We start from the raw sequence: 25105 nt of genomic DNA on the forward strand, positions 1-25105 counted from the left end.
GACTTGCCATATTTACCTATAGTGCATTTACAAACTCTCTTTCTCACTCCAAACCAGAAATAATATAACCTCTGACCATACCACATCTATAGAAGTGTCTGATCAGTAAGGCCAGCCATTTCCAAAACTTTTAGTAAGAGAACAGAGAGGATACCAACCTAGTTGACAAATGTAAAAGGCAGATGAACACATACAGGGGTTTGCAAGTGTCAGCCTCCATTTAAAGTAATCAATTCTCTCATTGTGCCATTAGTAAATAACATTTTGGTTGATTTCTTCAGTTACACAAAGAATTAGTGTCTTCCTTTATGATTAAGGAAACAGAGATTGCCTTGTAAGTCTCAGCAAACGATACAAATTTAAGTACAAGTTGAAATCCTGTCATTTGGAGCAACATGGATAGAACCAGAGGTCATTATGTTAAGTGAAATAAGCCAGGCACAGAAAGACAAATATCACATGTTCTCATTCATATGTGAGAGCTAAAAAAGTAGGTCTCATGAAGACAAGAGAGTAGACTGGTGGATACCAGAGGCCAGGCAAGGTAGCAGGGACGGGGAGATAAAGAGAGGTTGATTAATGGGCACAAATATTAATATACAGTTTGATAGAAGAAATAAGATCTAGTGTTCAACAGATCAGTGGGATAACTACAGGTTACAATAATCTACTGTATATTTCAAAATAGCTAACAGACTAATTTGAATGTTTCTAGCATAAAGAAAAAACAAATAGGGAAGGTGATGGCTATCCCAATTACACTGATTAGATCTTTATAAATTATATCAATGTATTAAATTATAACATTACCCGCAAAATATGTACATCTATTATGTATCAATAAAAAATAAATTTAGGCTGGGCATGGTGGCTCACACCTGTAAATGCCAGCACTTTGGGAGGCCAAGGTGGGAGGATCTCTTGAGTCAAGGAGTTCAGGACAAGGAGTTCAGCCTGGGCAATATAGTGAGATGCTGTCTCTAAAAAAAAAAATAAAGAAATTTGCCAGGCATGGTGGCGCATATCTGTAGTTCCAGCTACTCAGGAGGCTGAAGTGGGAGGATCACTTGAACCTGGGAGGATGATGCAGTGAGCTAAGATTGTGCCATTGCACACCAGCCTGGGTGACAGAGCAAGACCATGTCTAGGAAAAATAATAATAAATTTACAAAAATAAATTTTAGAAACAACAAAACTGAATGAAATAAAAACTGAATCAAAAAAATTAAGTAAGTGGAAACTTATTATGTTCGTCTCCTGATATGGTCAAATTTTCTTAATTTCCTAACTACTTTTTTTCCACAAGGGTCCTATGTATTTTCTCACTTCTAAGAGGTATTATCTACCTCTACTTTAACTTTCCATACCAAATGAACAAATTTACCAAACATTTTACCATTAATCTAAAACTTAACAGGAATGGGTTAGCACATGATCGACATTGCTTTACCATCAACTTCACATAAGTGTTCAGAAACCAGGCGGAAGTGAAACCCTAAGTTGAAGGAGCTTTTAACGCTTGCATGAAAATTTTCTAGACCTTCAAAGGCTGTTGCTGCTGTTTCTCCTTCTTTTTTTTTTTTTTTTTTTGCCTTTTTAAATATCTTGTTCTCTTCTTTCCCCCACTGAAATTCAAGAATTTGCAGATACCATAAACTTGGGATATCCTAGAAACAACCATGGTTAGAAAACTGATATGTTTCTACACACTCATCCTTTAATTGATGTCCTCCACCCACTCACTCTTACTCATACCCAGCTAGCTTCTCCCATATTATTGAAACTTCAATCCTTGCCTCTGTCATGTTCAGGTTTCTAAGCCTGGGGAAGATAACACTTTAAAATGCCGTAAGTACAGTGGGAAAGGACTGAGGAGGTAGCCAGAAAACCTAGAAATTATGACTAGGACTGGATTCTTTGGCATTAATACCCATGTTTTGCAATGTCCAAAGCATGACTAGAATTGATCTTTCACCCCCGAATGCTGTCATATTCCCATATTACCTGTATTTCTGTGCCTAAATAACACCATATAGACAAATTCTCCAATTTTATATTAACTTTATTCACATTGAAGCTGCCACATCTTACATTAGGAATGCTTTCAGCTACAAGGAACAGAAAAGTCTGACAGAACGCTGGGCGAGGTGGCTCACGTCGGTAATCCCAGCATTTTGGGAGACCAAGGCGGGTGGATCGCGAGGTCAGGAGTTCAAGACCAGATGGTGAAACCCTGTCTCTACTAAAAATACAAAAATTAGCCGGGCATGGTGGCGGGCACCTGTAATCCCAGCTACTCAGGAGGTTGAGGCAGAGAATTGCTTGGACCCAGCAGGCAGAGGTTGCAGGGAGCTGAGATCGCACCACTGCACTCCAGCCCGGGCGACACAGCGAGACTCCATCTCAAAAAAAAAAAAGAAAAAAGAAAAGTCTGACAGGTAGGTTAAACTCTTAGGAGTTTGTATCCTTAACAAGAAGTCCAGAGAAGGTTATCTCGGGGCTATTCTGGCAGCTCAATAATGTCGTTAAGAACTCAGACTCGGCAGTTCCCATTATCTTCGGGAGCTGTGGAGGTAGGAATTTAAGACAGGCCCATTTTATTAATTTATTTTCAAATGCAACAAAAGGTCCAAGGACAATCTGTGGGCCACTTAATTCAGGGCCCTCAATTCGTACATGGAGAACTCTCAGATACAGCCAAAGCCATGGGTTTTGGAGACCTGAAAAGCCCCGCCGGCCTCCAGGTGCTCAATGATTACCTGACAGACAAGAGCTACATCAAGGGGTATGTGCCATCACAAGCAGATGTGGCAGTATTTGAAGCAGTGCCCCGCCCACTGCCTGCCGACTTGTGTCATGCTCTATGTTGGTATAATCACATCAAGTCTTACGAAAAGGAAAAGGCCAGCCTGCCAGGAGTGAAGAAAGCTTTGGGCAAGTATGGTCCTGCAGATGTGGAAGACACTACAGGAAGTGGAGCTACAGATAGTAAAGATGATGATGACATTGATCTCTCTGGATCTGATGATGAGGAAGAAAGTGAAGAAGCAAAGAGGCTAAGGGAAGAACGTCTTGCACAATATGAATCAAAGAAAGCCAAAAAACCTGCACTTGTTTCCAAGTCTTCCATCTTATTAGATGTGAAATCTTGGGATGATGAGACAGATATGGCGAAATTAGAGGGCGTCAGAAGCATTCAAGCAGACGTCTTAGTCTGGGACTCATCTAAACTAGTTCCAGTGGGATACAGAATTAAGAAACTTCAAATACAGTGTGTAGTTGAGGATGATAAAGTTGGAACAGATATGCTGGAGGAGCAGATCACTGCGTTTGAGGACTATGTGCAGCCCATGGATGTGGCTGCTTTCAACAAGATCTAAAATCCATCCTGGATCATGGCATTTAAATAAAAGCTTGAAAGATTAAAAAAAAAATTTTTCAGACTCTTGGCTGGGCGCAGTGGCTCATACCTGTAATCCCATCACTTTGGGAGGCTGAGGAGGGCAGATATCTTGAGGTCAGGAGTTCGAGACCAGCCTGGCCAATATGGCAAAACCCTCTCTCTACTAAAAAAATATGAAAATTAGGCCGGGCGCTGTGGCTCATGCCTGTAATCCCAGCACTTTAGGAGGCCGAGGCAGGCAGATCACGAGGTCAGGAGATCGAGACCATCTTGGCTAACGCAGTGAAACCCCGTCTCTACTAAAAATACAAAAAATTAGCCGGGCATGGTGGCAGGCACCTGTAGTCCCACCTACTTGGGAGGCTGAGGCAGGAGAATGACGTGAACCCGGGAGGCTGAGCTTGCAGTAAGCCAAGACTGCGCCGCTGCACTCCAGCCTGGGTGACAGAGCGAGACTCTGTCTCAAAAAAATAATAATAATAAAATGAAAATTAGCTGGGCGTGGTGGCACACACCTGTAATCCCAGCTACTCAGGTGGCTGAGGCGTGGGAATCACTTGAACCTGGGAAGTGGAGGTTACAGTTAGCCGAGATCGCGCCATTGTACTCCAGCCTGGGCAACAGAGTGAGACCCTTTCTCAAAAAAAAAAAAAAAAAATTCAGTCCCTTGGCCAGATGCAGTGGCTCATGCTTGTAATCCAGCAATTTGGGAGGACAAGGAGGGCGGATCTCTTGAGGTCAGGAGTTCAACACCAGCCTGGCCAACATGGTGAAACCCTGACTCTACTAAAAATACAAAATTAGCCGGCGTGGTTGCCTGCACCTGTAATCCCAGATACACAGGTGGCTGAGGTGTGACAATCACTTGAACCCGAGAGGGGGAGGTGGCAGTGAGCCGAGATTGTGCCACTGCACTCCAGCCTGGGCTATAGAATGAAACGCTGTCTCAAAATAAAAAAAAGAATTCAGATTCTGTCTTTCTGCTCTACCTTCTTAGCTTGTTAACTTTTCATTCTGAGGCTTGTCACCTTATGATTACAATTTGGCTGCCAAAGACTCCATATATCACATTACATACTTAAGGATGGAAGAAAGAGAGTATATATACAAACAAATGTTTCTATTCCTTTTATGAGAGAAGCTACTTTTTTTTCCCCCTGTAGAGGTCTTCCAGAAGATTTCTGGTTATATCACATTAGCCAGAACTAAATCACACAGCTGGCCCTAACTGCAAGGGAAGTTAGAAAAAGGCATATTTGTCTTCGAACCTCTATAACAGAAGGAGAAATGGGTTTGGAACTGACTTTAGGATTCAAGCAACAGTTTATGACACATGTCTATATTACACATAAAATGCTAATTATGCTAGTTAATTACAACTGGGTGCAGTACCTTTAAAAGCCCTCGTTTAGAATACAGTTCTCCTTTCCAGCAGAAAACTGGTTAAGAATGTTGATGATGGAAACATTAAAAAGGGACTGGAATGAAAGTTACAGCTTTGTCAGATGGTGCTGACATTGCTGAGTTGTAGACAGATTACAATCGAAAGAGTATCCATAGCCAAATCCTAACTAGAATGAAGGGAAAATTTTAATAGTGTACATAGCTGATGTCCTAAAACGTTCCAGAAGCTTTAAGAGTGTGATAAGGGCCTGGTACAGGGACTCACACCTGTAATCCCAGCACTTTGGGAGGCCAAGGCAGGAGGATCACTTTAGCCTAGGAGCAGACCAGCCTGAGCAACATGGCAAAACCCCAACTCTACAAAAAAATACAAAAATCAGCAGGGCATAGTGGCATGCACCTGTAGTCCCAGCCGAAGTGGGAGGATCACTTGAGCCTGAGAGGTCGAGGCTGCAGTGAGCCATGATCCCACCACTACACTCTAGCCTGAGCAACAGAATGAGACCCTGTCCCCAAAAAAAAAAAAAAAAAGTGTAATAACTAGAGATCTATCTAGGGCTACCACTTTTTTAAAATAAGAAAATAGATTTTTATAAATTATTTAAAATAGACAAGCCAATAATGCTACCTAAGAGTTAACATTAAGGGACTCTATTATGATATGCCAAGTACTGGGCTTTACATATATATGTATGTATCTAATCTCTCAACTGCCCTATCAGGAAAGTACATTCACTAACTTGCTTATGGTCACACAAGGAGAAGCTCAACCTAACTCTAGAGATGATGCCCTTAACCATATTACGTTACTGTTTGTTATTTTATTTGTTCTCCTTGGTGTTTCTTATTCATTTTATGTATTTGTTATTTAATCATTCAAATTTGTAAAGTTTAACTCTTGTTTATAAATTGTAAATTGTCTTTCTCTATTTTCTTTTCATAGTATTTCTGGTTCACACAAGTCCTAAAATGGCAAAGCTGTTTCAATCATATCTTTCAAAAACTTAGAATCAGATAATCCAAGTGGATTTTGTAGCTAGTTTTATGAAAACTTTGATAAAATTACAACAAACATTGTTAGGGTTTTATAAGGAAAAAAAAAAAAAGTAGAACTAACCTGACAAAACAAACCACCAAAAAAGGCATCACAACACACAATGTACAAACAACAAAAGTAGAAACATAAATATACATCTATATTAGTCCTATGTGTTCTAAATCCCTCCTTTGTTTCATCTACTGTGAGTTTGCTACCTCCATAGCACACTGGCCAAGATTACTTGTAGGCATACCATTGGTTCCCTGAATTATTGGGCTATTATTCCCCGCCTCACCCCCACCCCCTGCCAAAACATTAACCCTGTTTACTCCACACATAGCTGGTAACACACATGTGGTTAATTATACCCAAATCTCTAGTCTCAAACTACTGTACTTAGCTTTTTATTTTAGGTTTTTATGCTTCCCTTTTTCTTTTACTGTCTTTTTCTTTACCTCTTTATTATTATGTTCCCAGAAATTTAGCTCCTGAACATACATAAGATCCTTGCATATTTTCAACAATACAATGAAATCCGTACCTTCTTATCTACCAAAAAAAACGTAAGCCGTATGTTATACGTTATTTTCTCCTATTCTCTTCTCATGTGTTATTAAAATTGGAAGTGGATTCAACTTTTTTTGTAATTTTTTTTTTTTTGAGACAGAGTCTTGCTCTATCACCCAGGCTGGAGTGCAATGGTTTGATCGTGGCTCACTGCAGCCTCAACCTCTCGGGCTCAAGTGATCTTCCTACCTCAGCCTCCTGAGTAACTGGGACTATGGGCATGTGCCACCACACCCAGCTAATATTTTAATTTTTTGTAGAGACGGAGTCTCACCATGTTGCCCTGGCTTGGATTGAACTCCTGGGCTCAAGCAATCCACTTGCTTCAGCCTCCCAAAGTGTTGGGATTACAGGCATTAGACCTAGCACCTGGCCAGATTAAACTCTTTTTTAGTTTACTCAAAGGCAGCATCCTCATATTGGGTTGGAAAACCAAGATGATCACATATAAGAAAGGATCTTCCTACTTGTCTCTCTACCTGTTTTTCCCAACTCTGGCTAATCTCTGTTTAATAATGCATCTTTCTTTAACTATTTGGAAGAAAAACAAAAACAAAAAAACTCCATGACAGCATGATCAGCTGACAGACAGCATGATTAATGAAGAAAACAGTGATGGGAACATATAAGCCTCTTCTCTCCCTCCAATAACCTGGCAGACAACCCCACCTGGGATTTGTCCCATACTTGTAACACACAAATGTTTGCTTGCTAGGTCAACTGTATTTAAACTAAAATATGACAGCTGTAAATAAGCCAATAAAATAGGGGCCATTTTTAGATTCTGACAAGCCAAAGATCAGGCACTGCTCTCTTGAAAACTGTCACCAAAGGCAAAGAGAGAGCAGCCTCAAGAGGAAATAAGAGAAAATCACTACATGGCCTGAATGATTCACGTTGAAATCAGAGGCATCAGATGAGGACTTAAGATGGATCAATAGCTTAAAAAGGTCTCAAGTGAACAATCTGTGCCATTCTCCTTCTCTAATCTCTTGGAGAAAAAAAAAAAGAGCACAAAAAAGCTCTAAGGTCTTTTAATGAGACTATTATTCCATTAATTATTTGAGGCAGTTTTTGTTTCACTAGAATTAATTAACATAACCCTTCTACTTTCAGCTCCAGCTGCATCTGATGTCACTGCTATGGCAGTGAAGAATGAAAACCAAAGGACAACTGGCTACTTAAGGAATTAAGCGGACTAAAATGAAAACCATTCACAGAAGCAGTTCCAGTACTCTGGCTGAGACTCTGTTTTCCTACATACAGCCCACACATTCTGAATATACTCAAATCTACGCAATTTCAAACTTAGAAAACTTTAACTGCTGCCCCACTGAAGCCATTTTCAAGCTGGAATCATGTATAATAAACTACTCCATCTATTTCACCAATATATACATTTTAAAATAATTAATTTAGCCTCTACTCATTCAGATCTATTAAATTTCACCACTATGACAGTTATCTTAGAAAATCCTCTTAAACATAGCCAACAGATAAATCAAATAAGAATTTTTGGAAATCTTTAACCTTAAGGACAATATTAAGAATCTAGGTCAAGGGTCCCCCATCCCCGGGCTATGGACCAGTACCAGTCCCTGGCCTGTTAGGAACCGGGCCTCACAGCAGGAGGTGAGTGGTGAGCTAGCGAGCAATACCACCTGAGCTCCGTCTCCTGTCAGATCAGCAGTGGCATTAGATTCTCATAGGAGCATGAACCCTATTATGAACTGCACAGGCGAAGGATCTAGGTTGCATGCTTCTCATGAGAATCTAACTAATGCCTGATTATCTAAGGTGAAACAGTTTCACCCCAAAACCAACCATCACCATCGCCACACCTGCTCCCCAGGTCTGTGGAAAAACTGTCTTCCATGAAACTGGTCCCTGGGGCCAAAAAGGTTGGGGACCGCTGACCTAAGTCTAATGTATAGAATGGCACAGATTACAAATGAGTCTTACAGATTTGTGAAACAGTCACTGACTTTCATTTAATTGTACCCATCACTTTGATTTTTTGTGAACTCAAATGAGACATCCTAATCCTCAATCTAACCAGCTAAGCTGTACTATACAGGTTTTGTCTAGATCCTCCTTAAACACACCCTAGTGGAGGCCCCAGCTCCAAAAGACAAATTGGACCTCAATGACTCCCACAGGCAGTGACTGAGGAGGCAACTTCTGCATGGTCCACAGACTATTCTCATTTTCCTGAGACAAAGGCACTGCTCCTTACACAGACTCAGAAAACTCTTCAACCCTAGGAGATGCCACCTCTGACCCAAGGGAAGTGAATGCCTTCTGAAGAACCAGGCTCCTTAAAACCCCTGGCCAGTTTCCCAGACACATTTCAGTTGTAAACTCATTATGAGAAACATTTAATTACGGAATCTGCAAACCAGGGGAGCTTATTTGAAATACATTAACTAAATAACTCCTTTTCAGATCTTTCCAGATCGCAGTCTGTCTCAGAGATTATTTCCCACATTACTTCTCCTGATTCAGTACATGTGTTTTTTTCTTGAATAACTGCCTCTGCTATATTTCTCCTTCCTTTAGCCTAAGTCAACCTTTCCATTTCTAAAGCCAACAGCTTCTGAGCAATGAGGCTATCATTCCATTAAATATGCATGCAAGAGCTTGACAAATCTTGAGTGCCTTTAATTACTCAGGGGTAGTCTCCTCAGCTAACATGAGAATGTGTAGGTTATAATACAACTCATCCTTATATGGCTTCCAAAATACTGGAATGGGAAGGGATCTTTTACCCTCTCAGGTTGGAGCTAACTGGCCCGCTGATTAATAATCTTAACCTATCTACCTCTGTAGTTTGGAGAACTGCCTTTTAGTAAGCTGTTGTGCCTGGCATACTCTGAGATCCCAAATATATAATTATTTTTAAGGATTTATTCCTGAGTTCTTTGATATTTCTGTTTGTTTTTTGGTCTTCTAAGATCTAACTAGATTAATCTTAACATTGATATCGGCTGGGCGCAGTGGCTCACGCCTGTAATCCCAGCACTTTGGGAGACAGAGGTGGGCAGATCATGAGGTCAGGAGATCGAGACCATCCTGGCTAACACGGTGAAACCCCGCCTCTACTAAAAATACAAAAAATTAGCCGGGCGTGGTGGCAGGCGCCTGTAGTCCCAGCCGTTCGTGAGGCTGAGGCAGGAGAATGGCGTGAACCCGGGAGGTGGAGCTTGCAGTGAGCCGAGATTGCGCCACTGCACTCCAGCCTAGGCGACAGAGCAAGACTGTCTCAAAAAAAAAAAAAAAAAATTGATATCATAATTCACCAAGTTTGTGTTCCAATATTGTTATAGTAGAAAAATGGGATATTTTGCAATTACAGTTAAATTAATTAATGACTACAATTTATTTCTTTGTAAACAAACACACAAAGGCTTTGGTTATCTTCAGTTTAAATGTAAACTGTCAAAAAATTAGAAGTCCTTATCGCAGGGGTCTCGTTCAGTAACATATGACTGATTAATGCAATATAATACTCTGAGGTCATGAAAAAAACACACTGTAGAATAACACGTATTGGCATGGGAAAACCTTCACAATATACTTCTTAGAGAAAATAGTATTCATAAAGTAAATCATTTCGCTAAAAAATATATATATATATAGGGAAAAAGACAAGAAGGACATACATCAAAACATTAAGAGTATCTGAGGACAGTGAGATTACATACAATTTTTCTTTTGCATTTCAAAATGTTCCAAAATTCTACCCTGGGCATTTATTATTTTTATACCTTTTTAAATAGTTTATTTTAAAGGAAAAGAGTTCCCAAGTAATTTTGTGAGTGATTTCCTATACTATTTCACACCTATTATTAGCAAAGGTAATGGAACTTCTTTTGCCATAGAAGACTCTCAATTATGTTTTAATATAAGTGAGGCAGTTGTTCCAGTTGCCTTTAAAAATAGCAAAAAGGGCCAGGCACAGTGGCTCACACCTGTAATCCCAGCACTTTGGGAGGCCGAGGTGGGTGGATCATGAGGTCAGGAGACGGAGACCATGCTGGTAAACAGGTTGCAGTGAGCTGAGATCGCACCAGTGCACTCCAGCCTGGGTGACAGAGCCAGACTCTGTCTCCACAGGAAAAAAAAAAAAGTATTCCAGATGATTGCTACACATAGTAAAGTCTGAGAAACTCCAGTGTTGTGAAAGATCAAGCCAAGACAGTAGGTTTAGAAAAAGATCGTAAGTCTTAATCACCAGGCTACAGAATAAGCTGGCCGGGTGCGGTGGCTCACACCCGTAATCCCAGCACTTTGGGAGGCCGAGATGGGCTGATCACCTGAGGTCAGGGGTTCAACACCAGCCTGGCCAATATGGCAAAACCCCATCTCTACTAAAAATACAAAAATTAGCAGGGTGTGGTGCCATGTGCCTATAATCCCAGCTACTCAGGAGGCTGAGGCAGGAGAATAGCCTGAACCCGGGAGGCAGAGGTTGCAGTGAGCCGAGATGGTGCCATTGCACTCCAGCCTGGGCAACAAGAGCAAAACTCCATCTTAAAAAAAAAAAAGGCATAGTTTTGCTCTTGTTGCCCAGGCTGGAGTGCAGTGGCACAATCTCGGCTCACTGCAACCTCTACCTCCTGGGTTCAAGCGATTCTCCTGACTCAGCGTCCTGAGTAGCTGGGATTATAGGCATGTGCCACCACGTCCAGCTAATTTTTTTTTTTTAATTTTTAGTAGAGACAGGGTTTCAACATGCTGGCCAGGCTGGTCTCGAACTCCTGACCCCAGGTGATCCACCCACCTCGGCCTCCCAAAGTGCAGGGATTATAGGCATGAGCCACTGCGCCCGGCCAAGAATAAGTTAATTCTATAGCCAATAACTAGGCTGGGGAAGTAAGTGATTGGGTACCACTCAGGGGTGTTGAGCTAGAGAGTAGCATGTTGAGATCTCTGACATGGGTCAGTACTGCTCCTCATAGCATGGGTTGAAAAAGAGAACTGGAAGCACTGGAGACTAAGGAAAGTCATCTATAATGACATGTTAAAACTGGCCAAGAGACTAAGGAAAGTCATCTATAATGACATGTTAAAACTGGCCAAGAGAAGAATAAAGTGGTTGCCTTCCCAGGTGCCAAAGGGAGGGAGCAGTAGAAGAGGGGAAGCACATGAAGAGTTACTGATAAATAAATAAGATGATTTGAATGATCTGATTCGTTAAATCCAAAAAATACAAAGAAGATTTGGAAAAAACTTTCCAATGATAATTTATTGTAATTCCACTCATTCATATGTTCAATCACTAACTTGGTACCTACTACATAGCAAACACTGGTCTAGATACTGAGTCAAAAAATAAATGTGAACCATTGAATTATACACTTTATACAATGAATTGTATGGTATATGAATTACAGCTCAAAAAAGTTGTCAATGAAATGAAACAAATGAGATGTTTTCCCTGTCTTTAAGGGGTTCAGAGAAGCAAAGGGGAGATAGACAACTGCAATGCAGTGCAGTAAAGGGTTAGGACAGAAGTAAACTGAATGGGCAATATGAACACACAGAAGGAACATCTTAGCCACACTGGGGTCCGGAAGAACTAATTCATGAATGAAAAGTAATCCAGGAAGGGGAATGCTGGAAATCAGAAGAAGGCAAAGTTGGCAAGCTCCTCACTTAAAGTGAAGACTGAATGCCAGGAGGGAAACATGAGAGATGAGGCAGGCCCAGGGCGAAGGCAGGTCATGAAGAGCCTGTGTACTACAGCCTCACTGCTCAAGGTGTGGTTCTCAATTCAGCACAGGCATCACCTGGGAGTTGTTAGAAATGCAGGCTCATGCCCTGTCACAGACCTACTGAGTCAGAATCTTCCCTTTAACAAGATTCCTAGTAATTCAGATGGACACCAAAGTTCAGGAAGCATTACACTAACAAATTTATTCTCAGGACAAAATCCTATGGGGAATCATGAAGGAATTTCAAGCCAGGCAGTGGCATGCTCAGATATGTGCATTACAAAGATCTCACTAGTAACAGAATGAAAAAACAGATTATAGAAAGTAAGACCAAAGATTGCTTAGGAAGCTGTTTGAGGAACCAGGAAAGAATAAGGGACCAAGCTGAGTATGGTGGCTCACACCTCTAATCTCAGCACTTTGGGAGGCCAGGGTGGGAGGATCACTTGAGCCCAGGAGTTCAAGACCAGCCTGGACAACACAGTGAGACCCTGTTTCCAAAAAACAAAAAATTAGCTGGGTGTGGTGGCATGCAGCTACTATAGTGCCAGCTACTTGGGGGGCTAAGGCAGAAGGATTAGTTAGCTCACAAGGTCGAGACTGCAGTGAGCTATGATCACGTCACTGCACTCCAGCCTGAGCAACAGAGCAAGACCCTGTCTCAAGAAAAAAAAAAGAAAGAAAGAAAGAAAAAAAAGATAAGGGCCCCAAATAGAGCAGTAACAGTACTAGGAAATGATAACTGATTAGGTGGGGTGCAGGGGTGTGGGGGAAAGTAAATCAAGACGATTTCTAAGTTTTGTGTTTGGGTTACTGGAGGGATACTGATGTCATTCACCAGACAGGAAAAAGAAATAACAACAACAATGACAGTAGCTAACATTTCTTAAATATGTGCCAGGCATTATTCTAAGTGCTTCCCATGTACTATCTCATTTAATCTTCATAACAACCCTATGAAGTAAGTATTATGCCATCATACAGATGTAGAAACTAAGACACAGAGAAATTAAATCAGGTAGGGTAGTATGAAGAAGGAGGGAGCAGATGACAATCGATTTTGAATATGCTGGGTTTGGGGGGCTTGTGAAGATGTCCATAAGGCAGTTGTCTGTAGGGATCTAGGTTTGTAGGAAGAGCAAGCAGGCTGGAAACAGGTTTGGAAGTCATCAGCACAGGGCTGGCACCTGACTCTTCAGGACTGGATCAGGCCACAGTGGGAGGGAGTGTAGGTCAAGGACAGAGCCCAGGAACATCAATATCTAAGGTGCAATAGGAGGTAAGTGAGCTTAAGAAGATGAGAAAGCAGACAGAGAGAAAGGAGAATGACAGCTATAACAGCAACAATAGTAATAACTAATACTTGTAAGAATTTACTAAATACCGGTCACTATTCTAAGCATTTCTTAATATATTATAAGTCAGTCATCATTAAAACCACATAAGGTAGGTTTTATTATCACCATTATAAAGATAAGGAAATTGAAGCATAAAGAGGTTAAGTGGCTTGCTTAAAGACACAGAGAAAGTAGAATAGCAAAACCAGGATTCAAACCAAGATCCAGTATCTAGGTGTGGATTCCATGCCCTTGACTTCTATGATGTACTGCCTCGCTTTCAGGACCCTGGGAGGGTTGGAAGGCAAGGAAGGAAACAGTTGCAACAAAGCCCTCAGAATAGTATCTGGCCTACAGTAAAGCCTCAGTAAATATTAATCACTATTATTTGATAATTTACTGCCATGGAACCACACATTTGACTGAGCCACAGTCTTTACAAGAAAACAAGTAACAACTATATAAGGTTAAAAAAAATCAAGGTTTTAGTGGAGGAAGAAAAGCAAAGAAACTTCCAAGGCTGCTAAGGCTTCAACTCAGTTTCCTATGCCTTTAATGTCTAAGGCTCCACACAATCAACCCTTGCCCAGGTCTGTGGCTACTGCCGTGATCCTAGTCCTTCGGAAGGGCTGCTACACACGGCAATGACCTGAAGGCCTCACTAATCCCAAAACACCTTCTGACTGCTATAAAGATTCCATTCTATAACGCTCCTTTAGCATTGGGCATATTTTGCTCCATTCTAATTGTTTTACAAAGCAGGTTGTTGATGCTGAAGGACTCTCGGGTTCTCAACTGTCCCCGAAAGCAAAGGCATGGCCTTCTCCAGACACTGTTAATTTGTTCTAATTAGGAGGACATGTCTACAATGTCCTGATAACATATTATCAGGTAATTTTCAAACTAAAATTATATCATGTATAGTAATTTAGAAGCTTCATGTTTTTTCTCTTTTTAAAATTCTTTCTAGTTCAATTATTCTCTCTGGCACAGATTGATCCAAGATCAAGAAACAGAGTGAATAAAAGCAACAATAATGACAATGGTCAGAAAAAGAAGCAGTTTCAATTTTTAAAAGGTTAAATTTTTGAAATGAACTTATATGTTTCTAGTCTAAGAAAATTTCTCAAAACAGAATAAAGGTATTAAAAAGCAGAAAGCATCTTCTAGAAGTGGGACATCTGGTCACCCTATCCCTCAGGCAATGCACATAAAGAGTGCTATTTTTAAAATGAAGTGAATGTGAATGCCCTATCCTGCATAAATACAAATGCTAATTCTTGCTAGGGAGACTTGAATTCTAAAATTAACTAAAACTGACTAAGCAGACTTATGAACAAAGATGCTCACCATAACATATCACTTCCATTAGTGAAAAATACCCAGCAGTAAATACATTTTGGTATACCCAGATGACTGAATATTATGCTGCCATTAAAAATATTTTCAGTGGGCTGGGGGCGGTGGCTCACACCCATAATCCCAGCACTTTGGGAATCTGAGGTGGGCAGATCACCTGAGGTCAGGAGTTCAAGACCAGCCTAGCCAACATGGTGAAATCCCGTCTCTACTAAAAGTACAAAAAATTAGCTAGGCGTGGTGGCAGGCACTTGTAATCCCAGCTACTCTGGGTGCCTGTAATCCTAGCTACTCCAGAGGCTGAGGCAGAGGTATTACTTGAACCCAGGAAGCAGAGGTTGCAGTGAGCCAAGATCGCACCAATGTGCTCCAGCCTGGGCAACAAGAGCGAAACTCCGTCTCAAAAAATATATATACAGATATATTTTTTCAACGAATATTTATTGATATAAATTCTCACAATACATATTAAGTTTAAAAATCATTTTAAAAATCATTACCATTTGTGAATATAGACAAAAGACTTAACAAAGTAAATCAATAGTTGACAATGATTATTTCTAGGTGGTATAATTAGTTTATTTTAACTTTCTTCCCTTATATGTTCTGTATTATTCAAATAATCCAGATTAGCTACAAGGCATCACTTCTACAAGCAGAAAAAAAATGCTTATAAATCAACTTTTTAAAAAAGTTTTCCCAATTAATTCTAATTTCCCAATTAATTTCTTCCTACTTGTTCTTACCCTAAGTTGAAGGCTTATCATCTAGTTTAGCAGTTTCAAGGGTTTGTGTGATTCTCCCCCATCCCCACCATCCCAAGAGATATCTAGCAATGTCTGTAGGCAATATTGGTTGTCACAACTAGGGATGGAGGGTGCTACTGGATCTCATAGATAAAGGTCAGAGATTTGGCTAAACATACTACAATACACAGGAGAGCCACCCCTCCCACAAAAAAAAAAAAAAAAAAAAAAGAATTATCCAGCCTACTATCAGTGGTGCAGAGGTTGAGAAATTTTGGTCAAGGATGAAAAAAATTAGTATAAACAGTAAGAGTGGGTTAAAATGCAATAGTAACTCTAAGGGGCTTAACATTTTCATTTCTTAAACAAGAAATACACATTCCGACTTTATGAAAATGTAATCTAGGTTGTGGACCAAAATTCCTTATTATTAAGATATACATTTCCCAATTTTACAGACAGCATCTCCAGAAAAATTCTGCTCCCAACCCAACCATGCTGCTTATCAAACTAGAAGATTTTTTTCTAAGCTTAAGCATAGAGAGACCAACCCCGTGTAAAAGTTGTTTAAGTACTGGCAGAAAAGTGTTTTAAGGTGAGATCATATCTTTAAAGGAATATCTAGTCATCTTACTGTAATGCAGACCAGTATGGTAAGCTAAAAAACTAAGGTTGAACTAGTCTAGTCTAACTAGTCTAAAACTAGTCTAACACAAAAGTGTTTGTTTGAAACACATAAACATGCTCACAAACACAGAAAATGATTTATGCAAACTCATAAAAAATGACTTCCTTTGTGATGTCAGATCAGGGAGTGGTAATAAAGCAAAAACAAAAATGAAGTTCCCTCCTCAATCTAAGTTATGAAAAAAAGATTCACCCTTTAGTAACTTATTTTATTCCATTATAGGTGTGGGATGTATATATACTTCGTTATAACAAATCATAACAGGGCATAAGGGGTGGGTAGATAAAATTAAATAGTAGGGGGATAAAGCAGATGAACAGGTGGAAGGAAGAGAACAGAAGACAGACTACCACTAGACATGAACAAGGAATGACGGACAGGCAAAAAGAAATTGTGCACAATTCTTACTGTTGTGCAATAAGAAATCGTGCAACTTATCTATGTATGAAAATAGGGGAAGAGAATAACGTATGCAAGCAAGGATGTGAAGAAAATAGGGGAAATAAAATGCTGAGGAAATACGGTAGAAAGAAATCAGTAAGAAAGGTGACATAGGGTTCATAGCCCCCAAATTAAGACTGAATAATGGCCGGGCATGGTAGCTCCCGCCTATAATCTCAGCACTTTTGGGATAATTAAGTGGGAGATTGCTTGAAGCCAAAAGTTTGAGACTAGTCTGAGAAACAAAGTGAGACTCTGTCTCTACAAAAATTAAAAAATTAGCCAGGCATGGTGGCATGCGCTTACAGTCCCGGTTACTCAGGAGGCTGAGCTGGGAGGGCTGCTTGAGCCCAGGAGTTCGAGGCTGCAGTGAGCTATGCTTGCGCTACTGCACTCTAGTGTGGGCAACAGAACGAGACCTTGTCTAAAAAAAATAATAATAATAATAATAATAATAATACATGAAAAATCAAAATTGAAGACTGAATAAATTTTCAAAATTTCAATTTCTAACATGCTATTAGTAACATTTGCTTGCACAGACGCTCCATGGCTTTTTTTTTTGAGACAGAGTCTTGCTTTGTCGCCCAGGCTGGAGTGCACCGGCACGATCTCAACTCACTGGAACCTCTGCTTCCCGGGTTCAAGCGATTCTCCTGCCTCGGCCTCCTGAGTAGCTGGGATTACAGGCACACGCCACCACGCCCGGCTAATTTTTGTATTTTTAGTAGAGACAGGGTTTCACCGTGTTAGCCAAGCTGGTCTCAAGCTCCTGACCTCATGATCCGCCCGCCTTGGCCTCCCAAAGTGCTGAGGATTACAGGCATGAGCCACCGCACCTGGCCTGGCTTCTATTTTTCAATCCAAAATGATTCTCTAGGGGAAAGATACCTAATGTCCCCGGTCAAGCAAAATTTCCCATTCTTCTTGCTCAAAGATCAGAAAAGGAGGGGTAGAATTCCATGACTATCATTTTCAGTGACCTATTCATAGCATACATGGACTGAGGGTAGTTGTTTATTTTGACTACCTAGCACTTTTCCTTCCAATGGCGAACAGCTCACAGCCATCCCATGAGGTTGGAGTAGGACTATCAATCACAGTGCCCTGTCCTCCCCCTGGTCTCTGGGGTGAGCACAGACTTGACCACTCATGGTGCTCCTCACCTACTGCCTAGAGGCCCAATGAAAGGAGAAGGCACATGACCAGAATTCCTCTATCAGGCTCTCTTCCTCCAGGCCCAGTGCTGTAAGATCATGTGATCTGCAGGTGCCACTGACCATCTTTTCACCCCTAAAAAAAGCTGCCCTCAGGATGAAACCAATGTCAGACAGCATGTGAGAGTCAGTGAAGAGAGCCCCAATGACCATGTCTGAGCCTTGATTCCAGCCATGCCTAGATTTTTAAGTCACATGAGCAAATAAACTCCTCTTTGGCTTTGAGTTTGGGTTTCTGTTTCTTCCAACTAAAACAGCTGTGGCTGGTAAACTGACTAACACTGTTAAAGAGAGGTTTGGTAAGTCAATGTGCCAAACCTCTCATCCATAAATTACCCAGACCCTCTCTATTTACATCCTGTACCTCAGCTAATACCATAACTTGAAGTGATGAGTTTCAGAAATGTAAAATGTAAATGTTTAAAGTAGAAATTCATTTAAAATGGCATATATTGATTTGTTTCAAGATCTAAAACATATCCCTACTAAACTGAGATTTGATGTTACAAACTTCCACTATTCTGGATGTCAAAGAGTCTACTATAGGGCTGGGCACAGTGGTTCACGCCAGTAATCTCAGCACTTTGGGAGGCCGAGGCAGGCGTATCACATGGTCAGGAGTTCGAGACCCGCCTGGCCAGTACTGTGAAACCCCATCGCTACTAAAAATACAAAAATTAGCCAGGGGTGGTGGCACATGCCTGTAGTCCCAGCTACTCGGGAGGCTGAGGCAGAAGAATCGATTGAACACAGGAGGCAGAGGTTGCAGTGAGCTGAGATCACGCCACTGCACTCCAGCCTGGGTGACAGAGCGAGACTCTGTCTCAAAAAAAAAAAAAAAAAACCTCTACTGTATTCCCAGCTCACCTTCATCTTTCTAAACTAGAGAGTTCGACACCTTTAATCTGTCTAGCCTCTTCACTGCCCTGATCATTTTACTTCTCCTATTCTGAAATTTCTCTAGTTTCATGTACATTTGTCAAGAAGTAGAAACCCCAACCACACATGCAGGATTCCTGGCCAGGACTATATGTTTTTGTATATGTGACAAAAGATGGACAAAACCTATCTTTTTTGTGCATCCAGTCTCCCTCTAGCCCAGCATCTTGCCCACATTTTTGGCCACAGTAGTACATTAGGCCACAGGAGGTAGATACATGGTCCTCATGAACACTTAGTGCATTATGTACAATGCACTTCTCCCTTGATTTCAATCAAGTTTAGAACCATTATTTTGAAATCAAAAAATAATTACATCATCCCTAAGTTCTACAATTGGCAAAAAGCCTTTGCTGTACAAGGAGATATTTAACGCTAATGCCTGCTAGTTAAAAAGAATTCCAAGTGAGGAGGGCTTAGAAGAGAAATGGAGAATGCCTGAGGCATGAAGAGCCAGGGATAAGTTTCTGCAAAGTTTAGGTTGTATCAGCACAAACTCAGACTGATGTTACAACCAAGACAGATGGGGAAGAGGAACCGTTAAAGGGCAAAATTAACCAAAGGGCATTTCAGAAGGCATCAAAGGCAGACATCATTAATAAAGGCAAAGTGGTCAGTGTGTGAAGGAAAGATTAAACAAAAATCATCTAAACTCCTTTTATATCCACTTCCGCCTCCCACTGAAAATGAAACTCCACAGCCATGATCTCCAATGCCAGGCCTTTGTAATAAGTATCTCTATTGGTTGGGCTAAGGTGGAACCATAGCATTCATTTCGGAAAAACCAAAAAGAAAAAACTTCCTTCTGCCCTAATGAGCAAGCATAACTCCAGTAAACTCCCTGAAGATGTTGGGGAAGATAAGAGACAAAGCACAAGGGAACTTTTGGGGTGATGGAAATGTTCTGCATCTTGTTTGTGGCGGTGGTTACATGACAGAATATATGTGTCAAAACTCATCAAACTGTACACTTAAAATGAGGGACTTTTCAAGTATATTATACCTCAATAAAGTTGATGAAAGATTGGGAGTGGGGTGGTGCTGGGGAGAAAAGGACAAACTCCCTAGGAAGATAAATAGAATAAGTCTAGGAAGACCACTGTAGGATGGAGGACATGCCTTCAGGTGAGGTGGAAGAAGTGGAATTGCTCACATAATATTTTGTCTATGGCCAGACCTTACTCCACAGATCAGAAGTTTAGACTTCCAACAGTACCTCATACTTCACTGGGAATTGCCTGAAGTGGAGACAAATACATCCAAGTCTATCCTCTAGTGGACCACGTACTCCTGAATTCTCCCAATGGAGGCAAAATTCATCATAAAATGAAAAACAGAGAAACTAAATTACCTTCTGAGGTAAGAAGTAAGGCGGATCATCTCTCCTCTCCCACATTCTCCCATACACGAGTTAGCATTCCCTGTCACCCCTCCCCTGAGGTTACAGTTAAATCCCTGGAAGCCCATTCATAAAGCTTCCTCCAGTTCTCTTTCATTATTTAAAAAAAAAAAAAAAAAGCTAAAAGTACCAGGAAGATCTAAAATATGTGGCAGCAGCAATTCTCATTAGAATCAGAATCTCTCTGTAATCTTTTCTGGACAATACACAAAACTTTCACACTTCAAGAAACAGTAACAAATTTCAAGAGGAAATAATGGGCATTTTGCTTTGTCAAGCTATGTAAAGAAGTATTTCTTAGTAGCATTCAAGTTCCACAGAGGCAGTCAAAATTTGTGATGAAACAGGAATTAATTTTCAGTTTCCAAGTCTGGAGCTACTGGCATTATTTCATACTACTCCTGCTCCTTCCCATCCTATATGTAATCCATCTCGGAGAGACCTGTCTCTCGGATTTATCCTCTTCTTTCCCACACCTTCTGCCCCTGCCTCAGTCCACCAGACCTTCACCACTTCACATTTTGTTTCCTGAAAGTTTCCTGGTCTCCCTGGTTCCCAGTTCTATTACTCATCCTGTTCAACATGCCTGAAAATGTGTTTACTTGTTTAACCACATCTTTATACCCTGCTTCGTCCCTACAAGTGGACTGATCATGCCAAACCATTATTTTCATTCCATCCCTCCCCTGCTTAAGTATTCATTCAACAAATATTCAATGAGCAGCTATTCTGTGTAACACTGGGCTAGGCTCTACAGGAGGTAAACAAAACAGCATGTCAGGGGGCTTAGAGTATCGTGGGAGTGGTAAACATATACACAAATACAGTAACCGTAATAAGACAGAAACATGTTTGGGACATTAAGACAGAGAAAAAGAGTACTAGTGGGAGTTCCAAATCTGAGCTATCAGCTGGATGTCAACTGAAATTAGAATTGATATAGAAGAAGTCGAATGTGAAAGACAAGAAAAAAGATACGGAGGTTTCCAAGCTGCGGAACTAGGAGAACAGCAAGTCGTTAACAGGCCTAGGAACACCAGGAGGAAATTCAAATGGAAAGGGCATGACAGGAGACTTGAGGACAGCTAACATCCTTGCCAAACTCCAAGTCAGGGCACATGATCAGAGATGAGATTTCTGTTCCTCTTTAAGATGTTGGAAGCAGTCTGAGAAATACAGTCTCGACATGAAAATATTAGAATTTCCAAGATCAGTAGTTTGAAGAGACAGTGCCATAGAATATAAAAGTGGATCTATCCCAGAAAAAATCTAGGCCATGTGGCTCCTGTATATATGAGAGGATATGTTGGGAATGGAAAGTTACACATATACAATCTACTGACCTTAAGAGCTGTTTCATCTAGGCAAGTTAACATGCTTTGCAAATGTGGAATTTTAGATTGTCTTTGCACTGTTACAATACTCAGCATCTCAGCACACATGGGAACCTCCTAATCAAACAGCTTCAGGTAAAAACAAAACAAAACACAAAAGTAAACAAAAAAATTAAAACTTTTTTAAAATTAAAAATAAGCCAGGCATGGTGGCTCATGTCTGTAATCTCAACACTTTGAGTGGCCGAGGCAGGAGAATCATTTGACCTGAGGAGTTAGAGATCAGCCTGGGCAACACAGCAAGATCCTGTCTCTGTAAAAAGTACAAAAATTAGCTGGGTTTGGTAGCACATGCCTGTAGATTCAGCTACCCAGGAAGGTGAGGTGGGAGGATGGCTTGCACCTGGGAGGTCGATACTGCAATGAGCCATGTTCACACCACTACACCTCAGCCTGGACAACAGAGTGAGACCCTGAACCTAAATAAATAAATAAATAAATAAATAAATAAATAAATAAAATAGGCTGGGTGTGGTGGCTCATGCCTGTAATCCCACACTATGGGAGGTGGAAGCAGGAGGATCACTTGAGTCCAGGAGTTTAAGACCAGCCTGGGCAACATACTGAGACTATCTCTAGAAGAAATTTAAAAATTAGCTGGGTGCATAGCTGTGGTCCCAGCTACTCACGAGGCTGAGGTGGGAGGACAGCTTGAGCCCAGGAGTTAAAGGCTACAGTGAGCCATGTTCATTTCACTGCACTCCAGCCTGGGTGACACAGTGAGACCCTGTCTCAAAAAAAATAAAAAATTAAAAAAAAAAAAACCCAGCTTCAAGTAATCTTGACCATCCTATAGCATGGATACCATGGTGCTATCCATGGTGTCTGGGAACATGATGACAGGAGGAATAGCATGCCATTCATTATAATGTTCCCGATAATCCTTCTAGGTCTAATTGATAAACCCTACTCCACAAATGTAGAATTGCTTCTAGTTACCAAAAGCACCTATGGATGATGTATGATATAGATATCCACTGGCAAGTCAAGACTAGCAAATATTTTCAAAATCAGAAGCAATGAGATATCATAGTTTCCTTTAATTCTTTTGGGAGCAAGGCAGGTTGACCACAAACACATCAACATACTACTCTGTGAATAAACCAAAAACCATTGAATAGTACACTTTAAATGGTGAATTATATGGTATAAGACACATATCTCAATAAAGCTGTTATTTTTAAAAATCAACAAAACATGTTTTAACCAAAATATTCGTTTCCAGACAAGTATCCCAAGAACCTAGCTATTGTCCTTAAAATGTTTATACTGCTGGAAAAACTTACAAAATGGAAGCCTTGTTAAATTGCTGTGACAAAACCATTACCATTCTGGCTAAAAAGAAGAAATTGAACAGTCTCTTGTCCTTCACTGTAATAGGAACTGATCTGTATCACACATTAAAATCTGCCCTTAAGATCTGAATGACATTTTTTTAAAGAGCACTTTTCAGATTTAACCACAATGTTAAATACCATAATTATGGCATATCACTAATACATCTTTCCTTGTAATCTATCCTAGAACTTCCTTCCTATAATCCTCTGCAAGGGGAAGATCCTTGTGCTTATCCACTGATAATACTTCTAATGATTTTCCTATTCCTCTAGTAATTACAATAGTAGTTTTTATCTCTGGAATCAGCCCAACCTTCCCCATGTCCCAACCCATTCCCTAACTTCTACTAATAAATATCATACCAGCTGTCTGCCTGCTGTTGAGGTAACAGCAGGTTATTTATGCCCCTATAGATTCAAAGTGGGTCAAGAATGTAAGAAGCAGACTATGAGCGTGTTGAGGGAAAGGACTGTATCTTGTTCATTGTTAAATCCTCTAAACATTAAGCAAAGTACCTGGCACACAGGATGCCTGATAAGTATTTCTGCTTGCCATTAAGCTAAGGCCCATTCACAAAAAGAATTTGCCAACAAATAACCAAGTAACCAGACTATTAATTAGGCATAAGTATATTTAGAAGAAGGCAGTGTAAGCCCCAACTTCAGTCTTGATCTCTAAGCCAGTCTGTCTTTATAATGACAAAGAGGTTAAAAAAAATTTTTTTTCAACACACGGTCTTGCTGTTTTGCCCAGGATGGAGTGCAGTGGCACAGTCATGGCTCACTGCAGCCTCAACCTCCCAGGCTCAAGCAATCTTCCTGCCTCAGCTGATCATCCTGCCTCAGCTCTCGAGTAGCTGGGACCGCAGGCGTGACTAACTCGCCCAGCTAATTTTTATTTATTTATTTATTTATTTTTTGAGACAGAGTTTCGCTCTTGTTGCCCAGGCTCGCGATCTTGGTTCACTGCAACCTCCGCCTTCCAGGTTCAAGTGATTCTCCTGCCTCAGCCTCCTGAGTAGCTGGGATTACAGGCATGCGCCACCACGCCCAGCTAATTTTCTATTTTTAGTAGAGACGGGGTTTTGCCATGTTGGTCAAGATGGTCTCGAACTCCTGACCTCAGGTGATTCACCCACCTCGGCAACGTGTTGGGATTACAGGCGTGAGCTACCGTGCCCAGCCTAACTTTTTAATTTTTTTGTAGAGACCAGGTCTCATTATGTTCCTCAGGCTGTTAAAAGGTAAATTTTAAAATAGATTGTGATAAAGCTGTGACAGAAGCCCAAAACTTTACCATTTACAAATCACAACATCTTTTCAATTTTTTCTCCCAAATTATCCTGGGGGAAAAAAGCATTCGAAATCCAACAACAATTTATTATCCACTCAGTCTCTAGTTAAGCAGCCTACTATTAGGTGACTCAAAGATGACTGCTCACCATATAGAACGGAGGGTGTCCAATCTTTTGGCTTCCCTGGGCCACACTGGAAGAAGAATTTTCTTTGGCCACACATAAAATACACTAATGATAAATGATGAGCTAAAAAAAAAATTGCAAAAAAAACACAACAACCCATGTTTTAAGAAAGTTTATGAATTTGTGTTGGGGCACATTCAAAGCCGTCCTGGGCCCACATGCGGCCCATGGGCTGCGGGTTGGACAAACTTGATGTAGAAGTGGAGGGGATGGGCTACACAAAGTAACCAAGGAATGTTTACAGACTGATTATCTCTTCATGTGAAAATGATTTTGATATTTCTTAATATCGACCTCATAAGTTCCTTATGAGGATTATGAGTTCATATTTTTAAAACGCTTAAAACAGTACCTGGCACATAGCAAGCACCATATTAAGTGTTTAAGTTACTTTTAATCAGTTTCCAATTGCATTCGTTCATATGTTAGAGATCTACAATGCCTAAAGAAATTACCAGGTTGAGAGAGAAGTTCCAACTGTACAGTCGTTAAATCTAAAACTAGAAAGAAAGAGGTCTCAGACAATGTTTCATGCAAGCTCATTTCATGGTTGAAGAAATTAATCATATATCTCATATTTGCAGAGAAATTCATAGGTTACAAAAAGCTTTCACAACGATTATTAAGTTTGATTCTC

The 25105-nt window shown here is 40.6% G+C and overlaps 1 protein-coding gene and 1 pseudogene across 10 annotated transcripts in view; one reads left to right on the forward strand and one right to left on the reverse strand.

The window, feature by feature from the left end:
* The window catches only part of MYO5A (myosin VA), a 221768-nt gene that overhangs the window by 195201 nt on the left and 1462 nt on the right, over positions 1–25105 (reverse strand). For 2 of the 10 annotated variants that reach the window (NM_001382349.1, NM_001382348.1), the window contains exon 2: positions 21600–21719. In NM_001382349.1, the coding sequence (NP_001369278.1) occupies positions 21600–21698 (99 nt within the window). In that variant the 5' untranslated portion in view covers positions 21699–21719. 10 annotated transcript variants of the gene reach the window in all.
* Positions 2546–3425, forward strand: EEF1B2P1 (eukaryotic translation elongation factor 1 beta 2 pseudogene 1; annotated as a pseudogene).

This window comes from Homo sapiens, chromosome 15, assembly GCF_000001405.40.
Source record: "Homo sapiens chromosome 15, GRCh38.p14 Primary Assembly".
Classification (NCBI taxonomy): domain Eukaryota; kingdom Metazoa; phylum Chordata; class Mammalia; order Primates; family Hominidae; genus Homo; species Homo sapiens.